The 24137-nt window shown below is 49.9% G+C and overlaps 1 protein-coding gene and 3 pseudogenes across 1 annotated transcript; 1 reads left to right on the top strand and 3 right to left on the bottom strand.

Moving 5' to 3' along the window:
* Positions 1 to 4698: 4698 nt before the first annotated feature.
* HSFX1 (heat shock transcription factor family, X-linked 1) lies at positions 4699 to 7498 on the bottom strand. Its single transcript, NM_016153.3, has 2 exons — positions 6321 to 7498; positions 4699 to 5483 (listed from the first exon to the last, which is right to left on the bottom strand). Exons 1-2 carry the CDS (start codon positions 6882 to 6884, stop codon positions 4776 to 4778), a joined length of 1272 nt encoding a protein of 423 aa, NP_057237.1. The 5' UTR covers positions 6885 to 7498; the 3' UTR covers positions 4699 to 4775.
* Positions 8740 to 12683, bottom strand: TMEM185AP1 (transmembrane protein 185A pseudogene 1; annotated as a pseudogene).
* Positions 20268 to 20796, bottom strand: LOC100420334 (MAGE family member A11 pseudogene; annotated as a pseudogene).
* Positions 22905 to 23557, top strand: LOC100420322 (MAGE family member A10 pseudogene; annotated as a pseudogene).

Here is a 24137-nt window from a genome sequence, read left to right as displayed (position 1 = left end):
CCTGGCTCTTTGATGAAGTGATGTGTGGGAGATGATCTGTTTATGTCACCTTTGAGCATTTGCCCAGCTGCACGCGTTGCAGAGAATGGCTGCGGGTCCCAGGCTAGATGCTCCCTGGGGGGCTGCAGCACCTGTGATTGTAGGACCTGTGAGAGAAGATGCACACCATCCCATGGGGGCTCCTCCCCAGCCAGAGCTAGACTTTGCAAACCTTTTGTCCTAAAAGATTTATTTTTACACGGAAGAGGCTGAGCAGCAGCAAGAGATTTGGAGAAGCCATGTGTTTTGAAGGTATCGAACACAGCAGAGTCCAGATTAGCGATTTTCATATTTTAATTCTCATTCACATGGTAATAAATTTTACACTGTATGTGTACATTATATATGGTATTGTACATTTTGTTTATATCTACGTTTATATACATACCTGTTTTAGACATTATATACATCTATGCTTATATGTATACATACACGCATATATATCTTTATATCTTATATTTACTTACATGTATATATCTTTAGCTACATATTCGTTTGTATTTCTAGACTTTATACTATATATATGCACACATATTTTATTAATATCTACTCATAGTATGTGGCCTTCACACATACTTACTATTCTATTCCTAGTTCATTCTTTATATTCCATTAAAATAATAATTTTTTGGAAGGCTGGTCTTCTCCTACTAAGTTTGTTTCAGGTGGTTGTTAGCAGAACTCTGGAGCCATAGTGTCTCAATCAACTCAAATTTCCTGGTGTCCTGATATTACTCCAGGGCTACTGGCATCAGATTTTGTGGTGCTGCCTCAGATTGCGCGATGATGTGGGGTGGAATGTTAAACACTTTCTCCTATCCATCCTGTAATCTGCCATCTATGCAGGGTACAGACCTCCTCGATTTCCCTGCTGCTCCCTGGACCCAAAACACAAGTACTAGTTTAGCACAGTCTTCAGTCATCCCCAGGGCTTTCTCTGTTTTGATGGGTTTTTTTTTTTAATCTTTTCCCTCCTATATTTTTTCCGGGGTTGATTTGGGGAGCAGAGCACAGCAACCTGAGCTTGGTTGTCACTTTGGCAATGACAGTTAAGGCACTCACTCTGTATTTAATTTAAGTAGCATTTACATCTTTGCCATATTCTGTTCCCCATCAAGGAATATGGTATACAGATCCATTTACTTGAGATTATTTCCTGAGTCTATCAGCAACTTTGCACAGTTGCTTCCATAAAGGTCTTGTCAGGCTCTTCTTATTTACATTTTGGATTTTAATGCTGCTGTGAATGGTGCATTTTCTATTTTCTATTTTATATACTAAGTTGCTTTTGTGTGGCAAGGCTCTTGATTTTGCTTTAATGACCTTCTGTATGATGTTTTCTGAAGTCTTTTATTCATTTGAATATTCAATGTGTCTATTCCTTTGAATTTTCTATGTAGATAATCATATAGTTAACAAATACTCTATTTCTTTGCAGTCTTCATATCTCATTTTCATCTTGACATCCATAGCTCTGGCTCTTTTTCATTTTGATATTCACTGCAGATGTAGGTGGTAGTGGTGACAGCATATGTCAACGACTTGTCACTGCCGTGAATGGCAGAGCTTCTGACATTTCACATTTATGTATGCTTGCTGCCAATTTTAGGAAATGGAAGTTCCTTTTAATGTTAGTTTGCTAAACATTGTTAATTTGTACTTACATAGAATTCATTTCAGAGCCTTTTCCTGTACCCATTGTCATGACTGAATGTTTTTTTCTAGTCTATCTTGTATGCAGGGAGTTAGAATTGAATTTTTTTCTAACATTTAATCCTATTTTTATTCCATGCATACAGGCAGCTTGTTCGTTTAATCCACTGTTGTGTTGGATATGTGATTATCTGTTTATGACATTTGCTGCGATGTGTGTGAACACTTGCCTCACAAATTCTTTTCATGAGTGCTCGGGTGCCTTCATCTGTTTATGAATCTAGGAGAGCGAGCCTGGGAGAATGAGTTAAACAATTGCCCATTTTGGATGCATTGGAAGAGTTGAGATAAGATGGTGATTCATTTTCCCTTGCCACTTGGCTGAACTGGCCTCCAAAATTTCCTGTCCTGGAATATTTGAGGGTAGATTGAACTTTGAATACACTTTCAGTTTGTGGAAGTACCATTGGTTTTATCCATTCACCTCTTCAAGGACATCTTGGTTGGTGATTATGAATAAACTACTAATACATTCGTGTACACGATTTTCCATGTGAGAACCAGTTTCCAATTCACTTAGGTAAAACCTAGTAGTACGACTGATGGATCTAAAGGTAAGTCTATGTTTTACTACATAAGAAAGGGCCAAAAGGCCTTCTAGAGTGAATGAAACATTTTTCTTGTCTACCAGCTATGAATGAGAATCCCACATCCTCTCCAGAATTTGATATTCTCAGGTATTTGAATTCTATCCATTGTAATAGGTGGGTAGAGGAATCTTAGTGCTGTTGACATTTGCATTATTAATGAATAATTATGGTGATCATCTTTTCATGTGTGTATCTTCATTGGTGAATGTATGTGTATTTCTGCGTGTCTTCATTGGTGAATGTCTTCAAATCATTTACATCTTTAGTTGGATTCTTTGTTTTCAAAGGTTGAATGTTAAATGTTTGGTATTTATTCAGCATATGAGTTCTTTATCAGATATCAGATTACTAATATTTTCTCTCCATCTATATAGTTTTTTCCATTCTTCTAACAGTATTTTTTTTTTTTTTTTTTTTTTTGGAGATGGAGTCTCACTCTGTCTCCCAGCCTGGAGTGCAGTGGCGTGATCTCGACTCACTGCAACCTCTGCCCCCTGAGTTCAAGCGATTCTCCTGCCTCAGCCTCCCAAGTAGCTGGGATTACAGGTGCCTGCCAACGTGCCCGGCTATTTTTTGTATTTTTAGTAGAGACAGGATTTCACCATCTTGGCCAGGCTGGTCTTGAACTCCTGACCTCGTGATCCACCTGCCTCAGTCTCCCAAAGTGCTGGGATGACAGGCGTCAGCCATCGTGCCCAGCTGAGATTCACAGGAAAACCACGATCGGAGGGGTGTAAGTTTGTAGGAAAGAGGTTTTTAAGTGGCAGCATCTTTGCATGATTCAAACTCTGGAGGCATATGCATAAAGTCCAAGAAACACATGAGAAAACTGTACTTCTTGGAAACTAAGGAGCTCACAAATGATGAAATGTGATTCACACCGATTTGTAAATGAGCACCCATTTGTAAGTGAGCAGGCCGAGACAGGGAGATCCACCTGCAGACCATGGCTGGACTCTGGATTAATCCATTCCCATGTCTGCATTCTCTTATGGCCTCTTCCCACGTCTCCCAGGACTCTGCCACCTACTGTCAAATTAAAAATCACAGGCAGGGATACCTCTGGGTTCTGGTGTGTGGGTGTTGGGGCTCTCTGCACGCCCTGATTTCAGAGCTCTTTTGATGTCTGTGCCCAGTTGTGTCTACGGTAAGAACTTGAATCTATTTCCTCTGATCAGTCAAAGAAGTTCGTCGATGATAGCATGTGTTCTAAGATGAACACCCCAAGTGAGCAGAAAAGGCTGCTTCCTAAGTTAAAACATGACATGACATCTTTTAAATTAATTTTTGACTCCAAAAGAAAGGAGAAGGAAGGAAGGGAGGGAAAGAGAGAGAGAGAGAGACACGGAAGGAAGGAAGGAAGGAAGGAAGGAAGGAAGGAAGGAAGGAAGGAAGGAAGCAAGCAAGCACAGAGAGAGAGAGAGATGGAAGGAAGGAAGGAAAGAAGGAAGCAAAGAGAGAGAGAGAGAAAAAAGGAGAGGAAAGGAAAGTAGGAAGGAAGGGAAACAAGAAAGAAAAAGTGGGGGCATAGTGGGGGAATCAAGGAAGGAAGTAAAAAACCCCACCAGATCCAGTACAGACATAAAAGCCAAACATAAATCCTGTCCACCAGACACTAATGAGCACCCTCTAAACTGCAAACCCGTAGGACTCCTTGGTAGTATGTGTCACCTCCACAACTATCAAGGGCACTTTTTAACCCAATGACAAAGCCAGACGTGATCTCATCTGTATGTAAAGTGAAGATCCTGTTATATAAAGGCACCGCCATGACAAGGAATGGCCAGTAACACAGAGTCATTGTGAACCCTAGGCCGGCAATGCTAGCAGCACAATTAGCACTCAGCGAGCAACTCCAGGTAATTTTTTTTTTTTTTTTTTTTTAGACGGAGTCCTGCTCTGTCGCCCAGGCTGGAGTGCAGTGGCGCGATCTCGGCTTGCTGCACGCTCCGCCTCCCGGGTTCATGCCATTCTCCTGCCTCAGCCTCCCGAGTAGCTGGGACTACAGGTGCCCGCCGCCACGCCCGGCTAATTTTTTGTATTTTTAGTACAGACGGGGTTTCACCGTGTTAGTCAGGACAGTCTCGATCTCCCGAGCTCGTGATCCACCCGCCTCGGCCTCCCAAAGTGCTGGGATTACAGGCATGAGCCACTGCGCCCGGCCAGCTCCAGGTAATTTTTAATGAGTAGAGGCGGGATGTCTGAGGGGCTTCCTAAAACCCAGCACCTGCTCGAGTATCTCCTGGGCACTTTTCCAGGGAGGCGTGTTAGGCTGAAGTCTCTATCATGCAAGCCAAAGATGTCGGAGGGGGGTACTGGACTGCAAAGAAAGAAAAAGGATGGAGACCATGAAGACTTTTTTGTGCAGTCAGAAAATTACTCATTTTCTGACACATTTATTGACCAGCACATATTCTGCCCAAATGCTGCCCTCTATGTGCTCTGGTCTGCGTAGTCTGGGTACGCCTGGGGCCCATCGCTAGCTGGCATGTACTGTGACGTGCGGTGGCTGTGGGGGCAATGGTGGTGCAGAGCTGGGAGATGGGGGAACATGACCATGGAGGCAGCAGGCTGTGCAGCCCCAGCAGCCACTAGGGTCACCGGTACCCAGAGATGGCAAAAGGGCAGCATGCCAGGTGCAGGAAGTCCTGTGGTGTCCATGGCAAGGGTACTACGGGACGCTGTGGGAAGGGCCACCACAGGCCCGTAAGAATTCATCTGAGTGGGAGATCCAGGGACATAGAGGAAGGGCAGCGCTGCAGGCCCAGGGACAGCGGCCACCGGAGTGACGTGAGCCTGGCTGCCCTCTGACCACTCGCCGGCCGGCTGGGTCACTGGACTGTTGTCACTCGCCACGGCGGAATCAGGCACCATCACAGGAGTTGCTGGTGGAGCAGAGCCACTCCTGATTTGGGTGTTGGGACCGGCCGGTTCCCGGTGTTGCGGTGTGACCTGGTCATTCTCATTCGGAGACGTGTGATCTTGTTGCTCAGTGTCTGCTGGTGCCAGACAGGATCCAGCAGCTTCTGGCTTGTCCTCCTCCTGATGTCTTGGTGCAGACTTGACACCCACTCTTCTCTTCATCCTCACGAGGAGGTGAGGGGAGTCTCTTTGAAAGTAAGGATGGCAGTAGAACTCTAACTATAAGTCAAAGTTTAAATAAACAAAAGGAAACTGCAAGTCACAAGGATGGACTACAACTACCAACCATCTACGCCCCTGTGCAAGAGAACTCTACTGGCCCAGGAGGCCTTTCTGGAAAAGGTCCCAGTCCCCAAAGGAAGCTGGGGACTCGCGTTCACATCGTCAAGGTTTACCAAGTTGTGGCGGGCCTTTCCGTCTTGGAAAAAGCCTCAAAATGGCAGATTAGGGTGTCCATGGCCGGCGGAAAGGGTCTTTGAAGTTGCAGACCAGGAGGGAAGAAGATTCTGGGCCTCCCCCATGCAGTGTCAGCTGGCAACAGAATGCACCCCGGCTGGGTTGGAGGCCCTGGGTACTGGCTCTTCCACACCAGGGGCCCACCTACCAAGGGCAGCAGGAGCATCTGCACCTCCTGCGCCAGGCGCCCTTCAGTGCTTCCACTTGAGCACCTCTCCAGACACCAGCTAGGGTGACAGTGGTACAAATACCAGACTCCCCTGGCCTGCTCACCTCACAGGGTAATGTGCTGTGGAGTCAGGGGGACACAGCAACCGCCAGATGACATGGCTGGCCCCGGGGAGGACGACACGCAGATACGGCTACTTGGCACCTGTGATATTTTACACACTCGAGAGGGGCCCGCACCATCCTCAGCCCTCTCCCCACATTCACTCTTAGTTCATGTCACCTCCACCCAGAGGGGGACACAGGCCCACAGCGATGGCCCCACACCCTGCCTGAGGTCGCCCACTTCCCAGGAGGCAGTCCTGGGACTTCCACCCGACCAGGCCCCAGAGCCCACCGACTTAACCCCTCCAGAGGCTTGTCGTTCATTACCTTATTCAAGATGGAGACCAGCCTTTTTGCGGAGAAAATGCGGGTGAAGGTCCTGAAAGTGCATTGACGCCGTTTTCGGAAGCCATACAAGTTTAGCTGGCGGAAGAAGCTCTTTATCGAAGTTGTGGCAAACACTTTGTGTGCGACGTCCCTTTTGAGAATCTCCTTTTCAAAGAGTTTTTGATTGATCACTCTACAAGCCCCACTGTCATCCCACCAGATGGACGAAAACTGGTTGCTGCTGACCAGTCTCCACAGTTTCTGTGGAAAGGGGAGGGAGAGGAGATTATCTTCTCCCTGGGGCGGGACGTCACCGTCAGGGTGCGGCCTTCTGAACGAAGCTTCCTCGGCCAGAGGTTGGAAAGCGATTTCTTCTGTCAGCAGCCTCAAGTTAGGGCTCCCAGTGGACCCCGGGTCGTCCCAGGCAGGGGAAGGATCTGCTGGGTGAAGGTAGGTCTCTGACTGCAACTGGGGAGGGAAAGGCACCCTTTCCAAGCCATGATCCTGTCCTCTCGAATTTCTTTCTTCACAGCGAGCCATACTCAATGATCGCTTGTCCTCCATCTGGCAAACTTGCTAGTGCAGTGTGGCCAGCAGCACCCCTTGGCAGTCATGTAACCAGCCCCATGACATCATAAAGGGGCTCTGACTGCCGGGGGGTGGCATCTCCACCCCCAGCAAGTTGTGTAATAAAGGGCCAAGGCAGACAAGTAGCTGCCCATCTGCATGTGCACATTCTGGTCCTCACAGTCATTTCAATGGGAAAGATGACACTAGTGCACAAGAGTGCCGAGGGGCCCTGCCACACCGTAGATGCAGACCTGGAGCGGTCCCCTTGTCCTAGAGCTCCTGAGCCAGGCACAACTACAGCAAAGCCCTGGCTCAGGAAGGTCAGAGCTCACCGTCTGAGTCATGGGCCCACAGACCCCAGCACATGACTGACACTCGGAAGCACAGAACAAAGGGTAGGACGGTGCCCATGGGTCAGGCTGTAGCCACGCCACCCTTTCCACCCTGTCCTAGCCAGAGGCAGCAATGTGCTCCATACAGATCCTCCTAACACACCCACACTGTCGGTCCCCAGCACGCAGATGCCCGACAGCCCCTTAGGCAAATGGCTTAGCTGACTGCCCCACCACACGCCGTCGCCATGCAGTCCAGTGGGGAGTCGGAGGCAGCCTCCTTCCTGCCTCTCCTCGGCCTGCACGTGTCCCCCCACCAGGCAGAGACCCTTCTACACCCCGGGTGTCTGCGGTCACATCGCGGTGGGGCATGCAGCTGTTGGCCTTCGAGCATGTTTTGTTTTCCTTGGCCAGTGTCTCCAGAGAAACGCACGTGGGTTTGTGTCCAGCGGTCCATCTCTGCAACAGTTGTTCCTTTGGGATTGGATGCTAGGAGGTCACGGGAGAGGTGTCCATCCAAAGCAGTGTCTGTGTCACACACTGTCCCCACACACAGGGCCACCTCTGCACAGACTCCCCCGACTCGATTCTGGGCACAGAGCTCAGTGACCTTCCAGAGACTGCCACGAACCGGTGATGCCTCCACGCTTGAGACATCCTGACCGCAGGGCCCAAGGCGCACTGGCTCAGGGGGTGACAGTGAGGGGTCTGCAAACAGACTGCTGATGCTCAACCCGGCCGCTGCCGAGCTGTGTGACTTGGGCACGTCACTTAACCTCTCTCGGCCTCTGTCTCCTCCCGGGGATAAGAGTAGTAGCACCTGCTTCCCGGGGCTGTGAGGATCCAGTGGGACGTATAGGAACTAGCGAGGCACCGGCAGTTGGGTCAGAGCTACTGTTGTCACTTCACAAGGCATTTTCTTCAACAGCAAGTCGGAAATCTCATGAGCCTAAGGCAGAATCCACCTGTGGCCTCTGGTTACAACCCACAGGACTGAAAATCCTTCCAGCCACAGCAACTGGTGAATTTCCTGGTCAATTGCCACAAGTCATGAGCTGAACCCCACTTGAGTTTCAGTTCAGGCAGAACTCTAGAGACGACTAGGGCAAGCTAGACAGCGACTGCAGAGCCTTTTGTTGCAGCGTGAGCAGTCCTCAGCTGTTGACATCACTGGGGAGCAAACGAGGACCAGGAGCGGTGAAAGGACAGTGTCTGCTGCAGATTGTCGTAGCACCCAAGGAACACTCCAGAAAGCCTCCTAAGCAGTAACAAGTGTGGCAAGGTGTAGCCCAGCCAACAGTGGCATCTGCGAGGCGTCCCCTCCTTCCTCCCACTACCCCGTATACCCTGGGACCTGTGCACTGAAGGACTCATTCTAAAGGCTGTGCCCCTGCAGCCGCCAGCCTCACTCACTGGCTGCCTGTGCCAGCTAGAGATTTCTTTCCTCTGAGGCTGGCTGAGAGGACCACTCCAGTTTCCTGGCCCATCCAGCAAAGAAGATACACATCATGCACGTGTAAAATGAGGAACCGGTTTATTGAACAGCTTAAGGAGAGCAAAAATAGTGGCTTTAGCTACATTTTTTACACACTGAGCAGGAAAGTCTAAACCATCCCGTTCCCCTGTACCCCAAAGAGAACAGGGCTTGCTGGAGGCCAGTGCCAAGGGCGGAGTCGTGCTCGCAGCAGACTTGAATTAACCCCATGTAGGCCGGCGAGCAGTTGCCCGCGTGAAAACACCACCCTCTTCTCCTGGCTGAGACGATCAAAGCTCTTTTTTTACCCTCTTTTCAGCAAAGGACCTATTTGTTTTCAGGCAGGAGGATGTTAAACTTGCAGCCTCTGACACACGGTGGAACCTGCAGTGCTTGGAGAAACGGCACGCACACGTGAAAACATCATGCCTACTCCAAAGCCTTCTTGTTGCTGGCAGGAGGGAAGCTTGAGACTTTCCCACGCATAGTCGTGACCCGCGTGGCCGTTTCTGCTCTCAGCAACATTCTCTAGTGTTCCGGCTTCAAGCAGCGCTTGTCAGGTTTGAAGCTAGCCACTATTCTGAGAACGTCAGAAAAGCATGGACCATCTCTTGCTTGGTGTTGCCGTTCTGGCAGTAGCAGCTACTACGTACCTGCACGAGTTCCAGGGCAGAAGTGGCAATGTCCCATGAAGGCGTGGCACCCCACGGGGGGGGGGGGGGGAGTGTGCCACGGGCGTCCACTTCTGCAGCAGAAGGCATGTGCCTACAGCACAAGCTTGTAAAAAAATACTTGAACAGAATATGCTGTACAGAACTAGGGGTTAACACCGCATATGAAGATGCTAAAACATTTGTATAAATACTCTGTATACAAGCATGGAGTCACTCCCGTAGAAAGGGCTCATCCGTGAGGCTATGAAAAACTGCTGTCAGCATGCCCAAAGAGAAACTACTTCCACAGTAGGAACAGAAAAAAGGACTGTGCTGTGTCTAAACACGTGGTGCATCAGAGACATAGTTACAGTTCCTACTGACTGCCCCAGCCACGACCTGGGAGTGCTGAGGACCTGGGAGTGCTCAGCGAGCTGCAGGAGGTCAGCCCTGTGGAGAAATACATTTCTAAACAATACTTTTGATTGGGATTTCAGCACCGTATAGACAGATGTTCCTTCTGGGGGCCTGGCAAGCAGCCATCTCCCAGTGGGTCTGACGGGGAAGAGGGGTACCTGGAGCCCCTCCCAGACAGACGGTAATCCCACCCCTGTTCTCACACTCTTCCTGGCATCCGCATCTGCTGGCACACACCCCCGTCACCTGCCACTTCCGCGTCCCGTCGTGGTGAGTGGCTGATAGGCGCTGGATGCAAACAAGGCATGAGATGGACGTACCTGGAGACCCAGCTCCAGTACTGGTTCTGGTCTGCGGGGTGAACGAGGGGGCAGAGGAAGGCGGAGAGAGTGCGTCCCAGTCCACTTAAGCTCTGTCCCCGGAAGTGGCATCTAATCTGGCATTTCGATATTTAATTTGGGAGGTGGGAGCACATACTTCCCAGGGCTCTGGGCAATGACCACCCTGGCCTTCTTTCGAAACATGGGTGCGATTTTAGGGGGCTCCGGAACTGGGGTCTCTTCGGTTTCTTCATTATCTTCGTGATGGAGATCATAGGAAATGTTTCCATATTCTCGTAGAAATGGGAAGATTTCAAGCAGAAACTGACAGAAATCTTTGCGGATACCAAACCACCCTGAAAAATAAGAATTTTTTATTTCACACACGAGGCTCAACTGACCTTCCTGTTAACTTTCTTTCCGTAACAAGAAGTTTCACTCCTACAATGTCATAACATACTTTATCCAGACTCCTGAGTCACAAAGCCTGAACAGGGCTTGAGTACCCAAAATGGGGAAGAAGTGCAAATGCTAGCTCTGTGGTGCTTGGAGTGGGGTTCCCGGACCGGCAGGGACAGCGTCCACGGGGCCTAGTTAGGGATGCCATTCTCGGGCCCCAGCCCAGACCTCCAGAAACTGAGTCGGGCTAGGGTGGGCTCCAGCGGTCCCCTTTTCCTGGCCCTTTTGGGATTCTGCTGGATGCCCAAGTTTGAGAACTACTGCTCCAGTGAGTCTCAAAATATCTGTGGTGCGCAGACTACGGTGTCTTCCGCTAATCTTCTCCAGCCAGGATAAACTCATGGATGACAGTGCCACCCAAGAACAAGATTTCTGTCACCCTCTGGAATCCGTGAGGGCGGTAGTCATGCACGGGTCCTGGCCAGGAGGGGGCCTGAACTCATGGAGCCACCTTAAAGCCACTTTCCCAGTCCCACTACTCCTCTCTGTAGGCTACTGGAGTGTCAGCTCGGTGCAAGCCCTCCCTGCTCCCGGGTGCGGGGTAGGGGGCAGAGGCACAAACAGCAAGCACAGCCCGGGCTGCTGGGCTGCAGTGAGGCCCTGCCCCCAAACCCACTGGCTTTCCGAAGGGCAATGCTCTGGGCTTCCGTGCCATGGAGCCCACAGCCTTGCCAGGAAGGCACCCTCTGCAGAGATCGTTTTGGAAGTGTCTGCCTCAGCAAGCAGGTGGAGGGGAATAGAGTGTTAGCAAGGCAAGACAGGCAAGACTCGGGTGATGGCAGCAAGGATATGGGGGAGGCAGAGAGGCCAACAGGGACCTAGGATGAATCCCAGGTTTGGGTGGGAGATGTGGATTTTCCATCAAACCCTCCCGGGCCTGGGAAGAATCTGTCTTGATCCCCATTTTGCAGAGGAGGGAACGGGATCTCTGAGAGGTTGCCTGCCGTGTCTGGTTCTACCTCAAATGGCAGCGTGCACTGCGAGAAAAGTCCCGGTGCAGGCCAGCAGAACACCAGAGTTACGGCATGCCCTTCCCTTAGAAGGTCCCAGAATTTCCTCAGCCCTCACTTTCCCACACAAGCTTCTAAATTGGGGCCCTCGGGGACTCATCCCTTCCTAGACTTCTATCCGCCCCCCCCCCACTCCCTGGTCCCCCCCCAGACACACACCAAGGACTTCTGAAATGCTGAGTACATACAGTGGTTTCCTCCCTTCTGTCCAAATGTGGTTGCCATCAGCGTGATCAACGAGAGCCAAAGGGGGACAAAGATCGGGATGCTGGAGAAGGCGTTGTGGCCATCCAGTTTGTGAACCAGCAGAATCTAAAGAAAGAGACATAGTCCCGGTTGATGCCAGCACCGAAAATGGGCAGAGGCGGAAGCCAGACTTCATTAGGCAGTTCCTCCCCACCACCCCACCCCCGCGTGAGCTCCCACAAGAGGGAACATCAGCACCGCCAGAAAAAGGCAGGAAACCACCTATCCCTGGGGAAAGCTCGAAATGAGCTTTTATGTCCCTCTTCAGAGCTCGGCAATAGCCTATCCACTTGAAAAGTTCCCAGTGCCAGCAGTTTTATGGCAAACTCCTCCGGGTGTTTGTTCTAAGGAGTCAACAGCTCCCATTCTAGAATTCTCCACGTGACTCCAATACACAAATCTGACATCCCACTCTGCTTTCCCCAGAGTGGAAACTGGAGCCATACAGAGGCACCATGGCTAAAAAGGTGCACTCTTCTCCCTGCCAGCCCCACGTGCTGCCCCCAAGAGAAAGGAAGGATGCTCTCCTTTCACCGAAGCTCCCTCTCGGAGATGGCTGTGTTCTCTCCCCTCTCCTGGAGTGGGCTCACTGTGAGCTCGAGGGACAGAGGCTGCCTTTCTAGGGGTGCAGAATCCTGTCAGGGGAAGCGCAAGCTTCAGGGGCTGAAGAGGCTTCCCGTGGAACGCTTACCTCAAATGTAAGAAGGGGCACGACGATGGTCATCCAGCTCAGGGCCATGGTTATGTGTGTCCTGCGCTGCTCCGCAATCACATCCATAGAGCGCAAGAACAAGACGGACCACACAATGTAGTAGAGGACCACCAGGCACAGAAAGGACATGAGAATCCACAGCGGGACACACACAACCTGGGGGTGGGTGAGAGAACAGCAAGAGAAGTCTCTTTAGAGCTTCCAACCTGGCCTCTGATGGAAGGCATCTTTAGCACCTTGCTGTGTCTGTCCAGTTAAGGCGGTCCTTCCCGTGAGCCGAATAAGGACCGTTCCATCTCCCAGGACTGCTGGGAGCATCGCTCAGGACAGAAAAGGTATGGTATGTTCACTATGGGGCCTGCTGCCACCAGGGGACACACACGCTCAGTGAGTCATCAGTCCCTCTTCCTTTGGGTGACAGACAGCCCTGCACCTGGCTCCGCAGCCTCTACTCTTCCAGAGGCCCACTCTCCCACACTCTCTCAGGCTCCTCTAGGTTCTGCTGCCATCACAGCTTCCCGGGAAATGGGACACAACTGTCACCCTGTGCACACACACAAGATCTCACCCCAACAGACTCTCTTCACAGGCAACATTCCCACAACCTGCTGGGGGTACTTTGGCAACACAAATGGGAATGGGCTCCCCAGAAAGTCTGGCTGCCTGGGCTCCTAAGGATCCCTAACCTCACCCCTACCAAGTTAGTGAACTTGGCGGGTTGATGCTGGATACAGGTTGATGCTGGATACGTAGCGCTGCCGGGTCCCCGCCTCCACGGCAAGGGCGCATTCCCAGTATGTCCCTGTCGTACCAGGTAGACCTTGTCTCATCCACACACAAGCCCAGAGGACGAGTTCCGGGGGCGCCACTTGGCCAGGCTCCCCTGTGACACGTCTTCGCCCTCCTGCCCTGCCTCCTGGGACGACACTCCTCCGTTCTCCCTTTTTATTAATTATCTATCATACAGTAGGAAAAGTGACCGTCTTCCTTTGGTGTGAGTTCCCTGAGTCTTCACACAAGTAGATTCGCACAGCCGTTGGCAGGATGCAGAAGAGGTCTGTCACCCTGCAAAACTCTCCGTGCTGTCCCTTCACTATCACACCGTCCCCACCATTAGCCCCGGCAAACACTGATCTGTTCTCTGTCACTGTACTTTTGTCTCTGCTGGAACTTTATGTAGATGGCATCGCGAGACAAGTAACCTGTTGAGACTGGCTTCCCGCCATCCACATAATGTCTCTAATGAGATTCATCCAAGTTGTTCCCTCCCTGTATCCACAGGTCGTTCCCTCTCAGTTCTGAGTGGTATTCCATTGTATGGATGCCTACAGTTTATCTGACTGTCCGCTGAGGGTGGTTTGTGAAAACCAAACAAGGCCGCTATCCAAAATGCAAACAAGACTGCTACAAACACTGGTGTGTGGGTTTCTACAAGGCTGCGCGCTTTCACTTCTCTGGGGGTAAATCTTATACCCAGGAGTGGGGCAGCCAAGTCCCACGGGAAGTGCGCTTTTAACTGCATCAGAGATGGCCAAACCATTTTCTACAGTGCCCGTACCACCTGCCTTCCCGCCAGTAACACTGGAGTGTCCCAGTTCCTCTGCATCCTCCCAGGCACGTGGCCTCGTCAGTGTTGCTGAGTTTCACCATTCTGAAGCCATGTGTTTCGGGCCCTCATCCTGGTTGTAGTTTGTCTTCCCTAACCTGTAATGGCGTTGAGCATCTTTTCCTGTGCTTTTTCGCCATGTGTATATCCCCTTCGCAAATTGTCAACTCTTTTGCCAATTTTTAGGTGTTTCTTTTTGCAGTTTTGAGTTTTTAAGAGTTCTCTGTATGTTCTGGGTGCAAGTCAGTGTTTTGATGTGTGCTTTGCAAATATTTTCTCCCAGTCTGTGGCCTGTCTTTATTTTATTTTTGAGGAAGTCCAAATTTATTTATTTATTTGGTTCTAGGACTGGGGCATAGAAAATACAAGGTGAGCTTAGCATTTTGTGGCGCAGGAAAATAAAGACGTGCTTAAGAAATGATGCAGTATATAAAAAGGGTACAGGAGCTTCCAAAGACTAAAAGGGCTCCCAAAAGCTGGAAAATTTGAGCAACAATATAAATAATGGTAGTACTGAATTATAAGCAATAGAATAAAACAACAATTTAGATTTTTCTCAGGTATGAGCATGGATTATCTCTTCATTTATTTAGATGTTTTCAAATTTTTCTGTCATATTTTGTAGTTTTCAGTGTACAGGTCTTACAAACTTTTCATTAAATGTATTCCAAAGTATTTTATGTTTTGCTATTCATAAAGCACTTGCTTTTTGTCATTTTCATGTGTTTGCTGTTAGTATAGAGCTATAGTATTAATTTCTTTGTATTAAATGTGTATCTTATAACCGTGGTATATTCACTTATTAATTGCAGTTTTCCTTTTTTCTTTGTAGAATCCTTAGGATTTTCCACACTGACCATCATGTTGTTTGCAGTAAAGACCATTGTATTTCTTCCTTTTGAATCATGTTTTTCATTTCTTTCTCTTGCTCTATTGCAATAGTTTGAACCTCTAATAGAAAAAGTTGAGGAGAAGTATGAAATCCGTTATTTTTGCCTTGATCCTGACCTTAGATGGAAAACATTCAGTATTTCATCATTAAGCATATTCTTAGCTCTAGTTTTTTTGTAGATTTCCTTTAATGAATTGATAATGCTCACATATATTTTTAATTTGCTGAGAATTTTTTAAAATAAAATGTGTTGAAATTTTCAAATGATACTCTGCATTTAATGGTCATTAGATCTTCTTTGCTCTTACTGATTTTCTACTTTTCTCTATCAATTATAGGAATCTTATATAGGTCCTAAGTTTAGGTCTAGATAAAGAAAGAATACCAGAGAAGAAATAAATAAAGGTAAAATAAAATGCTTTCTTATTCTTAACTGACCTAAAAGGTAACTATTTATTTAAGTTAATAATAGTAACAATGTATCAGACAACTAGTGTATATGGATAAATGAAATAAATGATTGTAATGTTACAAGCAATGCAATGAAGGAACTGAGTATACTCTTTTATAAGGTATCTATAGTACATATGAAGCAGTATAGTGTTGTTTTATGGCATGTTATTAAAATATATATTATAAACTCTAAGACAAAGACTAATTTTTTTAAAAAAGGTGTAATTTTACATGTACTAAATGTTTTATAAAGCGAAAGAAGACAGAAAAAGAAGAGGAATAAAGAAAAATTAAATACATAGAAAACAGTTACATGCATGGTAGATATTAATGAATTATATTAATAATCTCTTTCAGTTTGAATGGTCTAAGTATACCAATAAAAGACAGGTTGTCAGAATTAATAAAAAATAATACTCAAGAACATATTGTCTATAAGAAACCCATTTTTAATTATAAGGACTCACATAAGTTCAATGTAAGGAGGTTGAAAAAGGTATTCTAACACTGACAAAAGAAAGCTGGAATAGCTACATTAATTTCATATTTAGAGTGTCTAAAGTTAAAAAAAACAGACAATATCAATTGCTGGCACGGATGCTGAGCAAAAAGAATCATTCATTGCTGGTGGGAATGCAAATAGTACAGTCACTTTGTAGTACAGTTTGTGAGTTTCTTACAAAGCTGAACATAGTATTACCATGTGATTCAGAGAACACACCCCTAGGTATTAATCCAAGTAATTTGAAATTTTAATTCTACACAAAATCTTGCATATAAATTTGTATCATAGCTTATTTTATAATTGTCAGTAATGGATTGAACTAAGTTGTTCTTCAGTAGGTGAATGGATAAACAAACTGTGGTACAACCATTTAATAGAACACTATTAATCAATAAAAAGAAATGAGCTGTCAAGCTATATTAGTCTGTTTTCATGCCGCTGATAAAGACACACCTAAGCCTGGGAAGAAAAAGAGATTTAATTGGACTTACGGTTCCACATGGCTGGGGAGGCCTCAGAATCATGGCAGGAGGCGAAAGGCACTTCTTATATGGCAGTGGCAAGAGAAACAAAATAAGGAAGAAGCAGAAGTGGAAACCCCTAATAAACCCGTCAGATCTCTTGAGTCTTATTCACTATCACAAGAATAGCATGGGAAAGACCAGCTCCCATGATTTAGTTACCTCCCCCCTGGGTCCCTCCCACAACACATGGGAATTCTGGGAGACACAATTCAAGTTGAGATTTGGGTGGGGCCACAGCCAAACCACATCACAAGCCATACAAAGACATGGATAAATATTAAATGCCTATCCCTAAGTGAAAAAAACCAGCCTGAAAAGTTTAGATAGTGTATGATGATACAATTTATTTGGCATTCTGGAAAAGGCAAAACTATAGAGACAGTAAAAAGATCAGTTGCTTCCAGGGGTTGGGTGGGTGAGGGGGAAGGATTGAATAGGGTAAGCACAGGGGATTTATTAGGGTGATGAAGCTATCCTGTATGATACTGTAATGGTGAATATAACACTATGCATTTGTCAAAATGCTCAGAACAATTGTGACCCCTAAAGTATGCAAATATAAAAAAATAATTTAGGAGGTCTGAATATCCCAGGAAAGAATGGACAATATGACAAAACAGAATAACTATATATTACAAAGATATGAAACAACCTCTTTAATGAATATCAAGAGAAAAGGTGCTGGCATAAGTAACTGTGGAAGTGAGTAGAGCCTGTAAGAATAAAGTTAGAAGGAACTCAACACTCCAGAAAAGAAGGGCCCTCCAGGATTCTGGCTGTTGCCGATTGTCAGCCCTAGGATGACCCTGGCAAGAGGCTGGCTGTGGCATGCTCTCACTTCTGCAGTGGGGTGAGAGTGGGGCTTCAGGGAGGTAAGGCCTTGGTCTGAAATGGAGAACTCAGATAATCAAGGGCTAGGTTTGGGATAGGAGTAAATTGAATGAAAATAGTGGTTTGGATGGAAAAGCAGCTGGGAGGGAGAGAATGAGTTGGTCTTTCACTCAACTTTCAAGATCTTTGAGCTGCATCCAGATGGGGAAGACTCTTATACGCCCAAATTAAATAATAGGCCATCTCGGAGGGAAATTTTACTAACTTTTATTCACAAAGCTTCAATTTTGACTAATTTGATATTATATGTTCTATTGAGCTGCATATTCTCTGAGATATTTTAGATAACAACAGAAGTAATTCCCAAAGGAGGTTATAGTAAGATGTGGTCTAAAAATAATATTTGAAAACTACCATTTATTAAATATTCAATATATGCCAGGCACTGTGTCAGGCAATTCAATACATTTCTTACAACAGTCTTACAAAAAAATGATCTAGCAAATAGAATCTTGTTGTCTCCTGTTCTTGGCTCTATGGGGACCTGATCACGGGTGGCCCTAAGTGTCAAGCTCACTTGTACCACAGGCAGGAAGTTAGGGAACCCACAGGGAGATGGGGTCTTGGTGTAAAGGGCAAATGTCTGCTCATCTCAGGGATTGGGAGCCGAGGAATGGCAGGCCCCAGCAGATGTAAAGATGAATAACCCACAGGAGGACTTTGGTACACCCATCCCAGAACCAACAGGGCCAGCCTTTAGCTCTGGTTGGGGAGAAGCCCCTGTAGGAAGGTGTGGGTCTTCTCCCAGAGGTCACTAAAATCACAGGTGCTGAAGACCCCCAGGAAGCACCTAGCCTGGAACCCACGGCCATTCTCTGCAAGGGGTGCAGTTGGCAAATGCTCAGAGGTGACAGAAACAGAGCATCTCCCACCCATCACTTCATCAAAGAGCTGGGAGCCAGGAGGAAGAGTCTCCTGAGTGAGAAGTGAGGGTCCACCGTCCCCACATAGAGGGGCCACAGAATCCAGCTCGGTCCCTCCTGTCAGCCCTGGAAGACCTTGGCAATGTTGTCCCCCGACCTGACACCTCCCCCTCACTGCCACTTCAGGGGACTCAGAGTCAGAGACTTGGTCTGAGGAGAGGAGACACCATTGGCAGAGGACGGAGCTCCAGGCTCTGCAGAGAATGAAGGACAGAAACCTGAGGGAGGATTGAGGCACCTCCATGACCCTCGACCACATCTGCACCCCTCGCCATTACTCTTCCCCCTGCCCCCACCCCAGCAGAATCGAGTACTGCCACTGCTGTCAATCCAGGGAAGCTCCAGGCATGGGGGCCAGATGTGACCTCCACTGGCTTCTGCCTCTGGGATCTGAGAGAAGAGAGAGCATCTCTCTGAGGGGTGTCTTGAGAGTGGCAGAAGGCAGCGGGCCCAGGCTCCATGAGGAGGCAAGGTGAGAGCTGAGGGAGGACTGAGGAGTCCTCCTACCCAGATAGAGGGCCCCAAATAATCCAGCGCCAACCCTGGAGCCAGCCCTGAAACAACAGGGGACCAAATTATCAGGCTGAGACAATCCCCCTCCTCAATGCCCAAGGAGACTCTGCGAGTCTATGGTGTGACCCGGGCAGAGGCAGTTCCGTAAAGGGTGGGGCCCTGGCCTTTCCAGACATCAACATCAGGACTCTGAGAAATTATGGAGAGGTTCCACCCCATCCTGATAGAGGGGCCCCAGAGTCCATCCTTGTCCCTGCAGTCAACGCAAAGGACCTCCGGGCTTGGTACCGCGGACTTGCACATTAGGGGGTCAGAGAGAAGTGACAGCCCGGTTCTGAAGGGCGGCTTGTGATCCGCTGAGGGCAGCGGGCCCAGGCTCTGTGAGGAGGCAAGATGAGATGCTGAGGGAGGACTGAGGACGCTCCCTCCCCAGATAGAGGACCCCAGATAATCCAGCACCGCCTCTGCTGCCAGCCCTGGATCACCCCATGGGGATGGACTTCTCAGGCTGGGCCGTCCCCTCCGACACCCCCCTCGGCTTCTGCCCCCTGCCGCTTAAGCCTCAAGGGACTGTGGGGTCAGAGCTTGGTGTGACCAGGGCAGGGCTGGTTGGGGGGGGCAGGACCCAGGTTCTGCCAGGCATCAAGGTCAGGACCCCGAGGGAGGGCTGAGGCCCCACAGAGCGAGGCTCCCTCTCTGCTGTCAGCCCTGGGAAGTTCCTGGCATTGCTGCCAGGCAAGTGGATCCTGATTTCCGCATCCCGGGCTGACCGAGGGAAGAGGCTTGGTATCATGAGAATGGCCTAGGGGGAGCACAGATAAGGCCCAGTCCCTGCTGGGAGATGAGGGAGGCCTGAGGGGACCCAGCACCCCAGGACAGGGGGCCCACCCCGCCCCCATCTTAGACTGAGGTGCCTCCTCATTCGGCGTTGGGAATCTGAGGGATGGAGACTCAGGTCCGCAGAGGGGATCTCTGGTTCAGCCCTGCCAGGATCAATGGGAGGAAGAGGGAGGACTCAGGAGGCCTTGGACTCCAGTTCAGTGGGGACCTTGGCCCTTGGAGTTCCAAGGCACAGTGCCCAAATGTGGTGCATCCTCGCTCTGCCTTTGGGGTGTCAGAGAGGAGTGGGTTGTGGTCTGAGGAGTGGAGCCTCAGGTCAACCCCAGGAGAAGTCCCAGAGCACTGAGGGAGGACTCAGACAACAAGTTATCCCTGAGGTAGAAATCCTGCCCCTGCCATCAGTCCTGGGAGGCCCCAGGCAGGACTCTAGGAAAGAGAGGCAGCTCCCCACTTCCTAGTTGGATTTCTCTGGGAGATGGTGGTCTTGGCCTGCAAAACCCATCCACAATTCAGGGATACCCAAAAAGGACAGCAGGAGGTGGTGATAGTCAGCTGGGTCCATGTGTGCTGGGGTAAGGAGCCTGTTTGGTCCCCATCTTTGGTGTGTATCTGGGCCTGGGACCCTCCCTCTTTTGACCTAAGGCCATCTCCTTAAACCAAAGCTCTATCTCCAGGAGACATCAGAAGAGGAGATCAGGGAAGTGGAAACACCCATGGTTCCCGGGGACTTCGCATGGCTGACAGAAGGGGCAGGGAAGGGCTGAGTCCCATGTTTTTGGTAAGTGCTGTCCCGTCAGCCCTCACCTTGATTCTGGTCATGGCCTGGGACCCTCCCACTGCTGACCTAAGTGCAGCCCTCTCAGACCAATGCCTCCCCCTCCCTGAGACCAATGATCCCAGTATAAGAGAGGGATCTCAGCAGATAGTCCTGCACATGCTCTCTGGGGAGACAGCAGGGGCAGAGCAGATTTCTAAGCAGCCATCTGTGTTCTGGCCAGGAGGAACCCTCAATCCTCCCTCAGGTTTCTCACCTGGACTCTTGGCAGATCCTGGGACCACTGTAGTTGTGGACCATACGGGGCTCTTTCTGTTGACTGGAAGTCGTCCTCTGAGAACATAGTGCTCACCTGCCCAAGATTCCAAAACAGAAGTAAGGGGCCCCACGTCCCATCACCCCATCATGTGGTTGTCCAGGGCTGACAGCAGAGGCTGGACCCTTCTGTTCTGGGGATTCCAAAGTCCTCCTGTGGGTTTTTCATCTTTACTTCTGCCAGGGCCTGTCCTTCCTCTACTCCCAACCCCTGAGATGAGCAAACATATCCCTTTACACCAAGACTTCCCTTTACACCAATCTTCAGGGAATCTCCCTGAAGATTCCCCAACTTCCTGCCTGTGGTACAAGTGACCTTGCCACTTAGAGCCACCCATGATCAGGTCTCCAAAGAGACAAGGACAGGGGACAGAGAGACTCTGTGGGATCCCTTCATTATGGGATGGGGGTATCTCCAGTCCTCACGAGGGGTTCACATCTTGAGTCCTAAAGATCCTGGGACTCCTTCCTCTGCTGACCAATTGTGGCTCCACTGCTGACCTACCTATCATCACCCCCTTGGAACCAGATGCTCACCTCCATGAAACCTCCCACCCCCAACCACCTGGCAGAAATGTGAGCATGGCACATACCTCCCCTACCTGGGGCCTCCAGGGGATGAAGGGAAAGGGGCAGGCATTGTCATGAGTAAATCTGAATACCTGGAGGACACCCAGAGAGAGCAGGCACCCTGAAATCTGCTCCATCTGTCAGCCTTTGGCATGCCATGCAGGGCTGTCCGTGTAGTGCCCCTTCACTTTGTGCCTCCCACATCTCAGAGAGGTAGGGCCCTTGGTCTGAGGCAGGTTGTCAGGTCAGCAGAGGGATAGACACCTGCTCAGCACAGGGTGGAGTCCAGGATCTGCCAGTGGGTCCGGAATTGGTGGGTTCTTGGTCTCACTCACTTCAAGAATGAAGCCGTGGACCCTCACGGTGAGTGTTACAGTTCTTAAGGGCGGCGTGTCCAGAGTTTGTTCCTTCTGATGTTCGGAGTTTCTTCCTTCTGGTGGGGTTCGTGGTCTCGCCGGCTCAGGAGTGAAGCTGCGGACCTTCGCGGTGAGTGTTACAGCTCTTAAGGTGGCGCGTCTGGAGTTGTTCGTTCCTCCTGGTGGGTTTGTGGTCTCGCTGGCTTTAGGAGTGAAGCTGCAGACCTTCGCGGTGAGTTCGCGGTGAGTGTTACAGCTCATAAAGGCAGTGTGGACCCAAAGGATGAGCAGCAGCAAGATTTATTACAAAGAGCAAAAGAACAAAGCTTCCACAGTGCGAAAGGGGACCTGAGTGGGTTGCCACTGCTGGCTGGAGCAGCCTGCTTTTATTCTCTTATCTGGCCCCACCCACATCCTGCTAATTGGTCCATTTTACAGAGAGCCCAGTGGTCTGTTTTGACAGGGTGCTGATTGGTGCCTTTGCAATCCCTGAGCTAGACACAAAGGTTCTCCACCTCCCCACTAGATTAGCTAGATACAGAGTGTGGACACAAAGGTTCTCCAAGTCCCCACCAGAGTAGCTAGATACAGAGTGTCAACTGGTGCATTCACAAAACCTGAGCTAGACACAGGGTGCTGATTGGTGTGTTTACAAACCTTGAGCTAGATACAGAGTGCCAATTGGTATATTTACAATCCCTGAGCTAGACATAAAAGTTCTCCAAGTCCCCACCAGAGCAGCTAGATACAGAGTGTCCATTGGTGCATTCACAAACCCTGAGCTAGACACAGGGTGCTGATTGGTGTGTTTACAAACCTTGAGCTAGATACAGAGTGCCGATTGGTGTATTTACAATCCCTTAGCTAGACATAAAGGTTCTCCAAGTCCCCACCAGACTCAGGAGCCCAGCTGGCTTCACCCAGTGGATCGGGCACCAGGGCCACAGGTGGAGCTGCCTGCCAGTCCCGCGCCGTGCGCCGGCATTCCTCAGCCCTTGGGTGGTCGATGGGACTGGGTGCCGTGGAGCAGGGAGTGGCGCTCGTCCAGGAGGCTCGGGCAGCACAGGAGCCCACGGAGCGAGGGGGAGGCTCAGGCATGGTGGGCTGCTGGTCCCGAGCCCTGCCCCGCGGGAAGGCAGCTAAGGCCAGGCAAGAAATTGAGCACAGCAGCTGCTGGCCCAGGTGCTAAGCCCCTCACTGCCCCGGGCAGGGGGGGCCAGCCGGCCGCTCTGAGTGCGGGCCTGCCCAGCCCACACCCACCCGGAAGTCGTGCTGGCCCGCAAGCACCGAGCGCAGCCCCGGTTCCCGCCTGCGCCTCTCCCTCCACACCTCCCCGCAAGCTGAGGGAGCCTCCGCCAGCCCAGGAAGGGGCTCCCACAGTGCAATAGTGGGCTGAAGGGCTCCTCAAGTGCTGCCAAAGTGGGAGCCCAGGCAGAGGAGGCGCCGAGAGTGAGCAAGGGCTGTGAGGGCTGCCAGCATGCTGTCACCTCTCACCAGTAGTCAAGGAGAGGAATATTGGTGAAGACTGAAGGTAAGAAGGTACCCTCTCACATGCCAAGAAAAAGGGATCTCACAAATCCCAGCTTCCTCTGTTTCCCTCGGCCTCTCTTATGATGGCATACTGGGTGATGAGCAGAGCATGCCCAAGTCTGGCCTCCTGATAATAGTCCTGGGTGTGATCTTCATGGAGGGGAACTGCGTCCCATGGAGGTTATGTGGGAAGTCCTCAGCATTATGGGGGTGTATGCTGGAAGGGAGCACTTCCTCTTTGGGGAGCCCAAGAAGCTCCTCACCCAAGATTGGGTGCAGGAAAAGTACCTGGTGTACCGGCAAGTGCCTGGCAGTGATCCTGCATGCTATGAGTTCCTGGGAGATGAGAGAGGCCTGAGGGGACCCAGCACCCCAGGACAGGGGGCCCACCCCGCCCCCATCTTAGACTGAGGTGCCTCCTCATTCGGCGTTGGGAATCTGAGGGATGGAGACTCAGGTCCGCAGAGGGATGGGTAAGAAGTGGGATCCCTCCCATTGGCGTTGGCTATGTACTCAAGAACTTGCATCTTGCTGGTCTCAGGGTGGGCCCTTGGACCCCACAGGGGACATTGGTGGAAACAGCAACACCACATGTCCCTTATTGGACAGAGCAAAGGGATATGGAGAATGCTCACCCTGTGTTTCCTAAGGACTGCAGGGCTGCAGCAGCTAGGACGTTCCATGCACCCCACATCCTCTCCTACAGGCATTTCAGGGTCCAGCATCCTCCACAGCAGCCTCCTGTATGGACACACATCACACAGGACTGGGACAATTCTGAACATCACAGGGCAGAGCAGATGGGAGCATACCTGTGCCCATCCGTGGATAGGTCTTGAGGGTTTCCAGGTGCCCCAAACCTGCCCCCTGAGGGGCTGGTGAGAGACCTCTCAGCCATGGTCTCACTTCCCTGAGAAACCTCCCTGTTCCA

Source organism: Homo sapiens, chromosome X (assembly GCF_000001405.40).
Source record: "Homo sapiens chromosome X, GRCh38.p14 Primary Assembly".
Lineage (NCBI taxonomy): Eukaryota > Metazoa > Chordata > Mammalia > Primates > Hominidae > Homo > Homo sapiens.
The sequence above is the reverse complement of the archived record's forward strand: the minus strand, read 5'-3'. Positions and strand labels throughout refer to the sequence as shown.